Below are 14407 nucleotides of genomic sequence, written 5' to 3' on the forward strand. Positions count from 1 at the left end.
GTCCTCTGACATGGCTTAAGGATACAAGGCGGCCATTGGGCTAAGTGTGGGGGTTTCGTTAGTTAAATCATGTCTTCCATGTGCAGTTCCTTTTTCGTGTTTGTAGTTCCTTTTACTTTGTTTTTTGGAAGCTCTTTCACCACAGAATTCTTCTCCTTTAAAACCTGTTTCCAACGTAGCAGGATATTGTAAGAGACAATTTCCAATGTCTTTTTAAAAACTATTTAATTTTAGGTTTACAGAAAAGTTGCGAAAATAGTATCTAGTTTACATGTGCCTTTCACCAAGCTTCTCCTGATGTTAACAACTTATCAAACCAAAGGACAGCGATCAAAACCAATGGTCAAAGCTAATAAAATAAGACATAATAACATGTTGGTTGAACCATCAAAAAAAAAAAAAAGGAATTAACATTGGTACAATTCTATTAACTCAGCTACAGGCCTTGCTCAAATTTCACTCATTTTCTTTTTTCCTTTTCCCCTAACAGCCTTTTTCTGTTCCAAGATTCTATCTAGGACTTCCCTTGAACTTAGTCTTATCTCGTTAGTCTTCCCCTACTGTGATAGTTCCACATTATTCCTGTGTCTCATGATCTTGATACTTTTGATGAGTACCACTTAGTTATTTTTATAGACTATCTCAAAATTTGGGCTTGTCTGGCGTTTTCCCATGATTAGATTGAGGTTGTGCATTTTTTATGGGAATGCTGGTGAGAATACCATAGGTGATGCTGTGTCCTCTTCAGTGCATCATATCAGGGAGTGAGATGTCCTATTATTGGTGATGTTAATTTAGATTACTTGGTTTAGATGTTACCTGCTGCATTTCAACTGTAAAGTTATTTTTACATATGAAATGAATAGAGGGGAAGATGCTTTAAAAGTACATGAGTATCTTATTTTCCCTTGAGCTTGTGCCCACTAATTTTAGCATCCATTCATAGATTTTTCTGTAACAGCTATTACTGTAGTGCTTACTTAACAGCAAGTTTTATTTCCCCCTCTTCTTTTACATTTATGAATTGGAATTCTTTTGTAAAGAAGAGATCTCCCATATCTCCAATTTATGTATTTATTCAAATGTTTATTTGTATCCGTAGGGACTCATTTATTTTGTGACTTGTAATCCAATATTATCATTATTATTATTTGCTCAAATTGTTCCAGCGTTGGCCATTGGTGTTCCTTCCAGTTGGCTCTCTCTGGCTTGCCTCATAGCATCTCACACACATAGCAGGGGCAGGAAGGAAGATAGCTTGTTGTTATGGGCTGAATGGACACTCTCCCTCAAAAAAATTCATATGTTGAAGTCTTAACTCCTATTACCTCAGAATGTGACTCTTTTTTTGAAATACAGTCTTTATAGAGGTGATTAAAGTGAGGTCGTTAGGATGGGCCCTAATATGATGTAACTTTTATTTTTGTAGGAAGAGGAAATTTAGACACAGACCTGAACAAAGGGAAGATGATGTGAAGACAGAGGGAGAAGATAGCCATCTAGAAGCCAAGGAGAGAGACCTGGAAAAACAGATCCACCCCCCATGGCCCTTAGAAGGAACCAATCCAACTGATGCCTTGATTTTGGTCTTTTAGCCTCCAGAACTGTGAGAAAATAAATGTCTGTTGTTTAATCTAGTCTGTGGTACTTTGTTAGGGCAGTCCTAGCAAAGTAATGCACTTGTCTAGAGAAAATATTACTTTCATTAAGACACCAGCCTTACCGATTAATTAGTGGTCGGAATTTCTTTGCAAATGCCACTCCTGAGAGAGATATTTTAGACCAATTTGAACATATTCCGAGCCTCAATATTGTTGCCACTGTCAGCCAATACACGAGTAGCAAAACTGATATCTTCAAACCACATCCTCAGGGATGCTAGAAATGTGACTTTATTTTTCCATAATTCAACTTTATCTCTCTCGAGCCTCATTTCTGCTCAGTGGCAGAAAATTTACCCATTTTATTCTAGTTTTGATTAAGTCTTTCAGATTAAGTCCATTTTGGGGCTTTTTTCTTCTCCTTCTTCTTCCCAGGGAAAGAAGTTTTGTGGGGCCTAACAGCATGGCCTGGGGACAGCTGTGGGGCAGCACACCTGCTGAGGAGTGCAATCCACAGTTGCGTTCTCTGCTGAGGTGGCATGTCACCACTGGAGTCTGGTGGCATGGCCCAACCCTTTCCACTTAGATGTCCACCTGTCACAACTGCAAGACTTGTTCAGGATCTACTGGGTATCTCTTTCTCTCCTGAGCCCTCTTCCATGGCCCTTTGCAGATGCCCTCCAACTTCGTTATCCTATGATGCTACGTTGCTGCTGGAGAACCAGGAAGGCTTCCTTAGAACTTATCTGCCCCAGATACCCCATACAACCACTTCTACTACACTCCCACAGGTCCAGAGACCATATCAGACTTCCTCACGCATTGCTTCTGCTTCTCTCAGCCTCGCCTGTCTTTTGTTCCCTCCTTTGCTCTAATGACAAGCTTTGCAGGGCTCTGACTGAGTTCCCAAAGGTGATTCGCCTAATACCCTATGCCTGGCCAGGGCCTATCTGTTGACATGAAAATGTGGAATTCTGTGGAATTCTACTTGGCCCCATAAATTTACAACTTGGAAGAACTGGGTAGTTAGTGCTGCCTGCAGTAAGGCTTTTACTAATATGATACAGGAACTGATGGGTAATGGATATGTTTGTTTTCCATCCTCCTCCCTCAACTCTTTCTAACAGGCAGTCTTGAGATCCATTTTATCTGACTTCTCAGAGACTGATTCAGAAAGATGCAGCAATTTGTCATGTTTTACTGTGGCCAGCTTGACAATGCATCACCATTTCCTTCCCTGCCTTACTCCCCTAGTCCCTCACTCTTGCTTCTTTTCACTCCCTAGAAAGTAGTAGCAAGTAGACCTTTTTAAGACTCTGCTTCCCCCCTGCCACTTTTTTTTTCAAGCTAAGAAAAGGATTTTGCCTCTCTTTATAGGGTCCAATTGGAAATGAACCTAGTACTCCTTTGCTCTCTGAATGCCAGAATTATCTGAAGAGAAGAATTTTTACATCTTTCCCCATGCTCTAAGACCTGATCCTGGGTAGGAGATCAAGGGTTCAGAGCCTTTAAAGGCTGAAGTTTCCCCCCAAGGTCATTACATATGAAACTTCCTTATCATTTCCAGTATCATGTTCCACTCTATGTATGTTTCCATAATCTAACCATTGATGGGTACCTTTTTCTATTGCAAATAATATGGCAGCAAATATCCTTGAACAATTGTACATTTGATAGACATTTTCCAGCTGATCTTCATGTTGTCTGTACTATCTCCCTTTGTCTCTATACTCCCATCAGCAACATATGAGGTGGTTTGTTTCCTTCAGTTTCACCAGTGTGGAGGACTATAAAACTTTTTGATACTTGCCAATTTGATAAAGAATGGCATTTAATTTTCATTTAAATATTACTTCTCCTTTTTTCTGCCTCAGATTGGGCATCTTTTCCTGTATTTAAGAGTTATTTATAGTTTTTGTAGCTTATATGTTCCTGTTCTTTGTACATTCTTCCTTGGTTTGTCTGTGTTATTGATTCTTCTGAGGTCATTAAAAAGGAAATTATTCCTTTGTCTACAATAGGAGTTTCAAATACCTTTTCCTGTGATTTTCCATTTGTATTTTGACTTTGATTACGGTGGATTTTACTGTATAGAATTTTTTGTTATTATTAGTTTATCGATGGTTTCATTTGCCATATTAAAATATCAGTGAATATTTAAAACTGTAAATAATAGCAAAATAGGTTTTTTTCTTTTCTGCCCTACCAGCACTGGAAGCAGGAGGCAGTATCACTTTTTCTTGCAGACTTTACCTTACATAATTTTTTGCAGAAGTTTGTCAGAGTGGATTTGAAGTGATGTCTATTCAGTTTTAATAAAAGAAAAACTCTCTATTGTCCCAACTTACAGACCTACTGGTATCTTGTATATTCCTTCAAAACTTTGGACAGGTTTTCTAAAAAAGAAAGAAGCAAAATGAACACTGTGGAACAGTCCCTTGATCAATGTTTTGGTAAAACCATTTCACTGTTAGTAACTGCTATCTTCTTCTTCATTGCCCAAGTAAAAACACAAGAGTAATATAGAAGAAAAAGATGATATAGATATTTTTGCTTTTATTTCTTGACAAACATCAATGAAATAGAAAAGAATATTATCTAGAACATATTTTAACATTTGTAACATGTTTTCAAAGTCTTGCTTGTAACACATTTTCAAAACTTCTAGTATATAATGCCACTGGCATTAGAATTATCTTACAAAGCGAATTTCATTTCTAAATGTTGCAAAGTTGCTTCCTTTCCTACTAGCATAAATTTAAATAATCTGACAAGGCCATTTAATTATTGGATGCATGCTCTCTTGCATACCTCAAGTAACCTCTTCTATGTTGATGACATTGTTTATTGTTAGGGAACAAGAATAGTCTTAAGATATCTGAGCCTGTGGGTTCATTATTGTCAATAAGATTGGCTTAACTTCAGCTATACTAAAGCTAAATTTATAATCTTGGTTGGAAGTTTCTCCAAATTTAAATGAATGCACCCCTACAGCCATCCTTTAACAGAATTTAGCAAAATAACAAAAGAAAAAAAATCCATTTGGCAGCGCAACACATTCATTGGGAAACTAACACATCCTCTCTGAAAACATTTAAATCAAGCTGGTCCAACCTGCGGCCCATGGGCCACATGCAGCCCAGGATAGCTTTGAATGCGGCCCAATACAAATTCATAAACTTCCTTAAAACATTATGAGATTACTTTTTGCAATTTTTTTAAAGCTTATCAGCTATTGTTAGTGTTAGTGTATTTTATGTGTGGCCCAAGACAATTCTTCTTCTTCCAATGTGACCCAGGGAAGTCAAAAGATTGGACTTCCTGAATTTTAAACCCATACATTGTTTATTATTTGCTGTTCGTTAGAGATCCTTGAACTCTTCTGAAGATCAACTGGATTTCCTAATGAAGCTGCAGGAGCTATCTGCCTTAGGAGACCAGGAGGGGGTCAATCAAAACTGCTTGTTTATTTTCCTTTACAAATATTGGTCCTCACACAATTTTGTTTTCTGCCCCTTAATAGCATTTTGTGTGTGTATGTGTGTTTGTGTGTGAGATATTCTTTAATCCAGATACTTTTCTTTCTCATAAGACTTATGCAAAATAAACATCCGTCAAGGTCATGAAAGACAAGGCAAGACTGAGAAAATTTGAAAGGACTGGAGGCAACTGAAGAGAAATCACTCCTGAATGCAATATGGACCCTGGAGCAGATAAAGGACATTAGTGAAAAACAGGTGAATTTTTCATGAAGTCTGCAGCTTACTTAGCAATGCAATCCCAAAGTTACTCTCCTGTTCATTTTCCCCCAGTTTTAATGAGGTATAATTGGTATACTGAAAACTGTGCATACTTAATATATACAATTTAGACATGTGCATACACTCATGTTACCATTACGATAATCCAGGTAATAAATTTATCACCTCCAAAAGTTTCATTGTAATCCTCCCTCCTTTTTTCTTTTTGGTGAGAATACTTAATATGAGATTTATCATCTTGATGAATTTTTAGGTACTATATATATATATATATATACATGTATATATATGTGTGTGTATATATATATGTATATATACAATTTTTTTTTTTTTTTTGGTGAGATGGAGTTCTGCTCTTGTTTCCCAGGCTGGAGTGCAATGGCGCGATCTCGGCTCACTGCAACCTCCACCTCCCAGGTTCAAGCGATTCTCCTGCCTCAGCCTCCTGAGTAGCTGGGATCAGAAGCATGTGTCAGCACACTCGGCTAATTTTGTATTTTTAGTATGTTGGTCAGGCTGGTCTCGAACTCCCAACCTCAGGTGATCTGCCTGCCTCGGCCTCCCAAAGTGCTGGGATTACAGGCGTGAGCCATCGTGCCTGGCCCACAATATCTTATTTTTAACCCTAGGCACTATGTTGTACAGCAGGTCCGTGGAACTTACTCGTCTAGCTGTAACTTTAAACCTATTGAATGACAACTTGACATATTACTCTCTTCCCATCTCCTGGTAACCACTATTCTATTGTTTACTTCTATACCTTTGACTATTTTAGATGCCTCATATAAGAGAAATCATGCAGTATTTGTTCTTCTGTGACTGACTTATTCCACTAATGTCTTCCAGTCCATCCATGTTGTCACAAATGGTAGGATTCCCTTCCGTTTTAAGGCTGAATAATATTCCACTGAATGTATGTATCACATTTCTTTATCCATTTATCTGTCAGTGGACACTTGGGGTTTTTCTATACTTTGGCTATTGTTCATGCTGCAATGAACATAGGAGTACGGATATCTCTTCAAGATTTTACTTCCAATTTTCTTGGATATATGCCCAGAAGTGACACTGCTGGACCATGTGGTAGTTCTATTTTTAATTTCTTGAGGAACTGCCATACTGTCTTCCATGGCTTCACCATTTGGCATTCCCACCAATAGTGTGCAGTGGTTCCATTTTTTTAATAGTCTCACCAGTGCTTGTTATCTCTCATTTTTTTGATAATAGCCATCCTAACAGAGGTGAGGTGATATCTTATGTGCTTTTTGTTCCATAAGTTATTGGGGTACAGGTGGTATTTGCTTACAAGAGTAAGTTCTTTAGTGATGATTTGTGAGATTTTGGTGTACCCATCACCCGAGCAGTATACACTCTACCATATTTGTAGTCTTCTATCCCTCATCCCCCTCCCAGTCTTTCCCTCAAGTCCCCAAAGTCCATTGCATCATTCTTACGCCTTTGTGTCCTCATAGCTCAGCTCCCACATATTAGTGAGAACATACAGTATTTCATTTTCAATTCCTGAGTTACTTCACTTAGAATAATAGTTTCCAATCTCATCCAGGTCATTGCAAATGCTGTTAATTCATTCGTTTTTATGGCTGTGTAGTATTCCATCATATATATATATATATAATTCCACTAATGTATATGTTAATATATAATACACATATGTATATATTATATATAATGTATATTATTCCACTAATGTGTGTGTGTATGTATATATATACTTATTCCACTAATGTATATACAATGCGATATATAGTGAATTGTGCTGCTATAAACATGTGTGTGCAAGTATCTTTTGCGAACGACTTCCTTTCCTCTGGGTAGACACCCAGTAGTGGGATTGCTTTATCAAATGGTAGTTCTACTTTTACTTCTTTAAGGAATCTTCCCACTGTTTTCCATAGTGGCTGTACTAGTTTACATTCCCACCAGCAATGTAGAAGTGTTCCTTGTTCATGCATCCATGCCAGCACCTATAGTTTTTTTATTTTTTTGAATATGGTCATTCTTGCAGGAGTGAGGTGGTATTGCATTGTGGTTTTGATTTGCATTTTTCTGATCACTAGTGATGTTGAGCTTTTTTTCATATGTTTGTTAGCCATTTGTATATCTTCTTTTGTGAATTTTCTATTCATGTCCTTAGCCCACTTTTTGATGGGATCGTTTGTTTTTTTCTTACTGATTTGTTTGAGTTCATTGTAGATTCTGAGTATAAGTCCTTTGTAAGATATATAGACTGCAAAAGTTTTCTCCCATTCTGTGGGTTGTCTGTTTACTCTGCTGACTGTTTCTTTTGCCATGCAAAAGCTCTTTAGTTTAATTAGGTCCCAGCTATTTATCTTTGTTTTTATTGCATTTGCTTTTGGGTTCTTGGTCATGAAATCCTTGCCTAAGCCAATGTCTACAAGGGTTTCTCCAATGTTATCTTCTAGAATTTTTATAGTTTCAGGTCTTAGGCTTATGTCCTTAATTCATCTTGAGTTGATTTTTGTATAAGGTGAGAGATGCAGATCCAGTTTCATTCCCCTACATGTGGTTAGCCAATTATCCCAGCACCATTTGTTGAAAAGGTGCTTTCTCCACTTTATGTTTTTGTTTGCTTTGTTGAAGATCAGTTGGCTGTAAGCATTTGGCTTTGTTTCTGGGTTCTCTATTCTGCTCCGTTGGTCTATGTGCCTATTTTTGTACCAGTGCCATCCTCTTTTGGTGACTATGTCCTTACAGCATAGTTTGAAATCAGGTAGCGTGATGCCTCCAGATTTGTTCTTTTTGCTTAGTCTTGCTGTGGCTATGCAGGCTCTTTTTTGGTTCTATATGAATTTTAAAATTGTTTTTTTCTAATTTTGTGAAGAATGATGGTGATATTTGACAGCGATCGCTTTGAATTTGTAGATTGCTTTTGGCAGTATGATCATTTTCACAATATTGATTCTATCTATCTATGAGCATGGGATGTGTTTCCATTTGTTTGTGTCATCTATGATTTCTTTCAGCAGTGTTTTGTAGTTTTCCTTGTAGAGGTCTTTCGACTCCTTGGTTAAGTATATTACTAACTATTTTATTTTGTTTGCAGCTATTGTAAAAGGTGTTGAGTTCTTGATTTGATTCTGTGCTTAGTTGCTATTGGTCTATAGAAGAGCTACTGATTTGTGTACATTATTCTTGTATAGAAGAGATACTGACTTGTGTACTGGAAACTTTGCTGAATTATTTTTAACAGTTCTGGGAGCCTTCTGGAGGAGTCCTTAGGGTTTTCAAGGTAAACAATCATATCATCAGCAAATAGTGACAGTTTGACTTCCTGTTTACCAATTTGGATGCCCTTTATTTCTTTCTCTTGTCTGATTTCTCTGGCTAGGACTTCCAGTACTATGTTGAAGAGGAGTGGTGATAGTGGGCATCCTTGTCTTGTTCTAGTACTCAGAGGGAATGCTTTCAACTTTTCCCCATGCAGTATTATGTTGGCAGTGGGTTTGTCATAGATGGCTTTTATTACATTAAGTTATGTCCCTTGTATGCTGATTTTGCTGAGAGTTTTAATCATAAAGCAATGCTGGATTTTGTCAAATGCCTTTTCTGCATCTATTGAAATGATCGTGTGATTTTTGTTTTCAATTCTGTTTATGTGGTGTATCACATTTATTGACTTGCAGATGTTAAACCATCCCTGCAGCCCTGGTATGAAACCCACTTGATCATGGGGGATTATCTTTTTGATATGTTGTTGGATTTGGTTAGGAAGTATTTTGTTAAGGATTTTAGCATCTATGCTCATCAAGGATATCAGTCTGTAGTTTTCTTTTCTGGCTACGTCCTTTCCTGGTTTTGGTATTAGGGTGAACTAGAGGGTTCCTTCCTTATCTTGTGGAATGGTGTCAAAAGGATTGGTACCAATTCTTCTTTGAATGTCTGGCAGAATTCTGCTGTGAATCCCTCTGGTCTTGGACTTTTTGTGTTGCTAATTTTTAAATTACCACTTCAATCTCACTGCTTATTATTGGTCTGTTCAGGGTATCTAATTCTTCCTGATTTAAGCCAGGAGGGTTGTATTTTTCCAGGAATTTATCCATCTCTTCTAGGTTTTCTAGTTTATGTGCATAAAGGTATTCATAGTAGCCTTGAATGATCTTTTATATTTCAGTAGTGTCAGTTGTAATATCTTCTGTTTCATTTCTTAGTGAAGTTATTTGGATTTTCTCTCTTTTTTTCTTGGTTAATCTTGCCAATGGTCTATCAATTTTATTTATCTTTTCAAAGAACTAGCTTTTTGTTTCATTTATCTTTTGTATTTTTTTTGTTTCCATTTCATTTAGTTCTGCTCTGTTCTTGGTTATTTCCTTTCTTCTGTGGGATTTGGGTTTGGTTTGTTCTTGTTTCTCTAGTTCCTTGAGGTGTGACCTTGGAGTATCAGTTTGTGCTCTTTCAGTCTTTTTGACGTAGGCATTTAGGACTATGAACTTCCTCTCAGCACCACCTTTGCTGTATCCCAGAGGTTTTGATAGGTTGTGCCATTATCGTTGCTCAGTTTGAAGAATTTTTAAGTTTCCATCTTGATTTCTTTTTTGACCCAATGCTCATTCAGGAGCAGGTTATTTAATTTCTGTGTATTTGCATCGTTTTGAAGATTCCTTTTGTAGTTGAGTTGATTTCCAGTCTTATTTCACTGTGATCTGAGAGAGTGCTTGATATAATTTCAATTTTCTTAAATTTATTGAGACTCATTTTCCTATGGATGTGGCTTCCTGTGAGCTGAACTGCAGTGATTCTTGTTTCTCTTCTAGGTCTACCCACCCAGTAAGTCTACCCGGCTCTGGGCTGGTACTGGGGGTTGTCTGCGTAGAGTCCTGTAATGGGAACTGTCTATGGGTTTCTCAGCTGTGGATACCAGTGCCTGTTCCAGTGGAGGTGGTGGGAGGGGGGTGGGGGCAAGTGCAGCGGACTCTGTGAAGGTTCTTAGCTTTGGTGGTTTAATGTTCTATTTTTGTGCTGGTTGGCCTCCTGCCAGGAGGTGGCGCTTTCCAGAGAGCTTCAGCTGTGGTATTATGGGGAGGAACCTGCCGCCGGTGGACAAGGCCTTAGAACTCCCAGGATTAAATGCCCTTTGTCTTCTGTTACTAGGGTGGGTAGGGAGGGACCATCAGGTGGGGGCAGGGCTAGGTGTGTCTGAACTCAAACTCTCCTTGGGCAGGTCTTGCTGTGGCTGCTGTGGGGGATGGTGGTGAGACTCCCAGGTGACTGGAGTTGTGTATCTAGGAGGATTATGGCTGCTTCTGCTGAGTCATGCAGGTTGTTCCGGAAGTGGAGGAAAGCCGGTAGTCACAGGCCTCACCCAGCTCCCACACGCAAACCGAAGGGCCCGTCTCCCTCCCACCATGCTCCCTGCAACTGCCCCCAGACTGTTTCCAGGTGGAGAGCAATACAGGATCGAAAATCTGCACCAGGCTATTCGCCTCCCAGCTGTGAAAAAAAAGGGCTTGGTTCTTCCCCAACCAGTGGAGTCCGCACACTGGATTTGCGCCCTCCCGCAAGTTCTGGCCGGGAGGCTTCTCACCCGGTTCAAATTGTTACAAAGTTCAGCTAGAGATTTGCTTCTTCCTGTGCAGTTTTACCCCCGCTCCTCTCCTGTTGGATCTCTGTGGTACCAGGCAGGAATGGGTGCTAGGGGACCCAGTGAGGTTCCGGGGCCTTTCTGCTGCTTCCTCTACCCGTGTTTCACTCGGCTCTCCATACTGATTCAGCTCCAGGTAAAGTCGGAAACGTCTCCCCCAAACAGACCTTAAGTTTCTGCAGTGGGGGTGTGTGTTCAGGAGAGGAGGGTCTCCCTTTCCCACTTCCACAGTCTGGGCACTCACAGTTTTGGGGGAGTCTCCTGGGTCCTGCAGGAGTAGTCCGCTTCCTTCAGAGGGTCTGTGGGTCCTCTCGGGATTGCTGGTTGAAGGTTCTTGTGGTGGATCTGGAGCTAAAATTCACAACGCCAGCCACCCGCTGCTCTGTCAGGAGCTGCAATCTTGTCCTGCTTCCCATCCACCATGATCGACTTCTATCTCTTATGTCTTTTTTTGTTTTCATTTCCCTGATAATTAGCAATGTTGAACATGCTTTCATATGCTTGTGGGGCATTTCTAGGTCTTCTTTGGAAGAATTTCTATTCAAGCCCTTTGCACATTTTTTCTACATTTAAAAATTACTGTTGAATAACATAGACTTACAAAGTTGCAACTAAGTATTTAAGTGCTTAAGCAGATTTAATGTATTCTTTCTTTTAAGAAAAATCTTGATCATTCTACCCCGGTGGGGTTTTTTTTTAAATATAGAATATGACACATAGACACCTGTCACAAAGTTTTTCAAGAATTGAAGTTGAGATATAATTTAAATACAATAAAATGCACAGATTTAAGAGTTTATTTGCTGAGTTTTAAGAGCTGTGTGTATTTGTGCTAAACATCATCCAGAAAAAACATATAGACCGTTTCCATTTTCTCCAGAAACTTTTCTTGTACCCACGTTTAGTCAGCTCAGTCACTCTCCAGCAATCAACAACCTGTTGATGGACATTTGGATCATCTCCAGATTTTGATTATGAATAAGTTTGCTATGAACATTCTTGTACAAGTCTTTTTGTGGTCATATGTTTTCAGTTATCTTGGGCAAATTACTAGGAGTGTAATTGCTGGCCTTGGGCCAATTATATGTTTATTTTTCTAAGAAACTGCCAAACAGTTCACCAAAGTGGTTGTACCATTGCACATTCTCACCAGCAGTGAATGAGAGCTCTGATTGTTCCACATCACCACCAGTACTTGGTATTGTCAGTTTTTTTTTTGTTTGTTTTTTTAGCTATTGCAGTGAGCATGAAATGGTATCTCATTTTGGTTTTAATTTGAATTTCCCTTTGAATAATAATGAGCATCTTTTTATTTTGTATTGGTTACTTGTAAATCTTGTGTGTGTGTGTGTGTGTGTGTGTGTGAGACAAGTTTGTTTGAATATATTTGTTCATTTTAAAAATTAGATTATTCATTTTTTTCCCCTGTTGATTTGTAGGAATTCTTTGTGTATCTATATAAAGGATGCCAGATTTTTAAAAACAGATTTTTAACCAATATATATTTTTCCTAGTCTGTGGTTTACCTATTAGTTTTGTAAGTAGTGGTTTTAATGAGCAGCAGGTTTTAATTTTGATGGAATCTAAGTTATCAATTTCCACTTCTATGGCTATTACTTTTGTGACCTAAGCAATCTTCATCTACTGTAGAGTGTTATAGCTCTAGTTTTTAAGTTTAGGCCTATGATCCATTTCAAATTAATTTTTGAATGGGATGAGGTAGCAGTTGAGGTTTATTTATTTTTGTTCATTTGGATTCTAGTTTTTTCACTACCACTTGTACAAAAGACTTTGTTTCCCCTGATGAATTACCTTGGCATCTTTGGGGAAAACCACCTGCCTATATTGTGCAGATCTATTTCTGGAATCTCTATTCTGTTACACTGATTGATTTGTCTATCTATGTAGCAATAGCACACTGTCATAATATTACTTTATGGTTAGTTTTGAATGAAGTAGTATACATCCTTTAATTTTGTTCTTCCTCAGCTTGTCAATTTCTTCATAAGCAGTCTGCTGGGATTTGTTTGAGAACGTATTAAAGAGATCAACTTGGGTCAAATGGACAAAAGAGTGTTGAGTCCTTCGATTTATGAACATGAGGTATCTTTTCACTTATTTAAATGCTCTTTAATATCTCTTAGAAATTTTTGTAGTTTTCCGTGTAAAGGTCTTGTGCGTCTTTTGCTAGAATCATTCCAATGTGTTCAGCGTTTTGTGTTGCTATTATATGTGGTATTGTTTTAAAATTACACTTTATAATTGTTTTTTGTTAACATATAGAAATACAATTGATTTCTGTATATTGACCTAAATTCTGCAGCCTTACTAAATTCACTTGCCAGTTCTAATAGAATTTGTTTTTGTAAATTCCATTGGAATTTCTTTTGATTTTTCCTTTTTTTTTTATGAAGATGGAGTCTCACTTTGTTGCCCAGGCTGTTCTTAAACTCCTGGCCTCAAGCAGTCCTCCTGCCTCAGTCTCCCAAAGTGCTCGGGTTACAGGTATGAGCCACCACGCCTGGCCTCTTTTACAAATTTTAAGGTAGAAGCATGGATCAGTGATTTTCCATCTTTATTCTTTAATAATGTAAACAATTCAACACTAAGCATTTCTGTTACTGGTGAAGGGTCTTGACTACGAGTCATACAGGTTCTTGGCGTTTTGAACAAAGAATTGGACAAAATGCACAAAGCAACAAAAGCACAGATTTATTGAAACAAAAGTACACTCCACAGTGTGGGATCAGCCTTGAGCAAGCACAAGTGGTCAAGAGTGCTAATTATAGAATTTTCGTGGTTTAAATACCCTTTAGAGATTTCCCATTGCTTAATTGGTTACACCCTATGTAAATGAAGCACTGTCCCAGGACCAGTCTGAATGGTCATGGGAGGTGACCAATCAGAGGCTGAAGTGAAGTTATAAAGTTACACCCTATGCATACAAAGACTTGGCCCGTTACCAATCTGATTGGTTGTGGGAGGTGGCCAATCAGAGGTACTTTCCAGTTTTCTTCTGCAACGCAATGGAAAGGGTAGGGGGTTTTGCAAAGGGAGAAGCCTCTGATCCTTTTGTTACTTGGGCATGGAGAGATAGGATTTTCTTTTTGATTCTGTTCTAGGAAGTCAGTGCAAATCAGTTTGCACTGTTCTCCTGTTCTCCTGCCTCATTACCTGTTCTCCTGCCTCATTACCTCCTCAGCTTAGTATTAATTGAATCCCATAAATTTACATATGTTGTGATTTAATTGTCATTTAGGTTGAAGTATTTTCAGTTTTTCTTATAATTTTTTCTTTGACTCTGGATTATTCAGAAGCCCATAATTTAATTTCCAAATGTTTGTCATGAGTGTTCTTAGCTATCTTATTGTTTTAGAGTGCTAATTTAATATCAATGTGACCAGAGAACATACTTTATCATTTCA

General features: G+C 38.2%; 1 long non-coding RNA gene across 1 annotated transcript, besides 3 other annotated features; it reads left to right on the plus strand.

The window, feature by feature from the left end:
• Positions 1-1429: 1429 nt before the first annotated feature.
• On the plus strand, positions 1430-13152 carry LOC105372916 (uncharacterized). The gene is made up of 3 exons (XR_001737820.2): positions 1430-1606; positions 5194-5338; positions 12972-13152. It is a non-coding gene; the product is annotated as an uncharacterized LOC105372916 (long non-coding RNA).
• Positions 10100-11299: an enhancer, noted in NCBI's record as "P300/CBP strongly-dependent group 1 enhancer chr1:214996426-214997625 (GRCh37/hg19 assembly coordinates)". NCBI's record gives its function as "activates an origin of replication core promoter dependent on BRD2, BRD4, P300/CBP, MED14 and CDK7 cofactors, with strong dependence on P300/CBP, by STARR-seq in HCT116 cells {active_cell/tissue: HCT116}" and the evidence as "EXISTENCE:reporter gene assay evidence [ECO:0000049][PMID:35650434]".
• Positions 10100-11550: a biological region, named in NCBI's record as "P300/CBP strongly-dependent group 1 enhancer GRCh37_chr1:214996426-214997625".
• Positions 10937-11550: an enhancer, noted in NCBI's record as "H3K27ac-H3K4me1 hESC enhancer chr1:214997263-214997876 (GRCh37/hg19 assembly coordinates)". NCBI's record gives its function as "activates a minimal SCP1, AML or CMV promoter by ChIP-STARR-seq in naive H9 embryonic stem cells {active_cell/tissue: H9 hESC(naive)}" and the evidence as "EXISTENCE:reporter gene assay evidence [ECO:0000049][PMID:30033119]".
• Positions 13153-14407: the final 1255 nt, after the last annotated feature.

This window comes from Homo sapiens, chromosome 1 (genome assembly GCF_000001405.40).
Source record: "Homo sapiens chromosome 1, GRCh38.p14 Primary Assembly".
Lineage (NCBI taxonomy): Eukaryota > Metazoa > Chordata > Mammalia > Primates > Hominidae > Homo > Homo sapiens.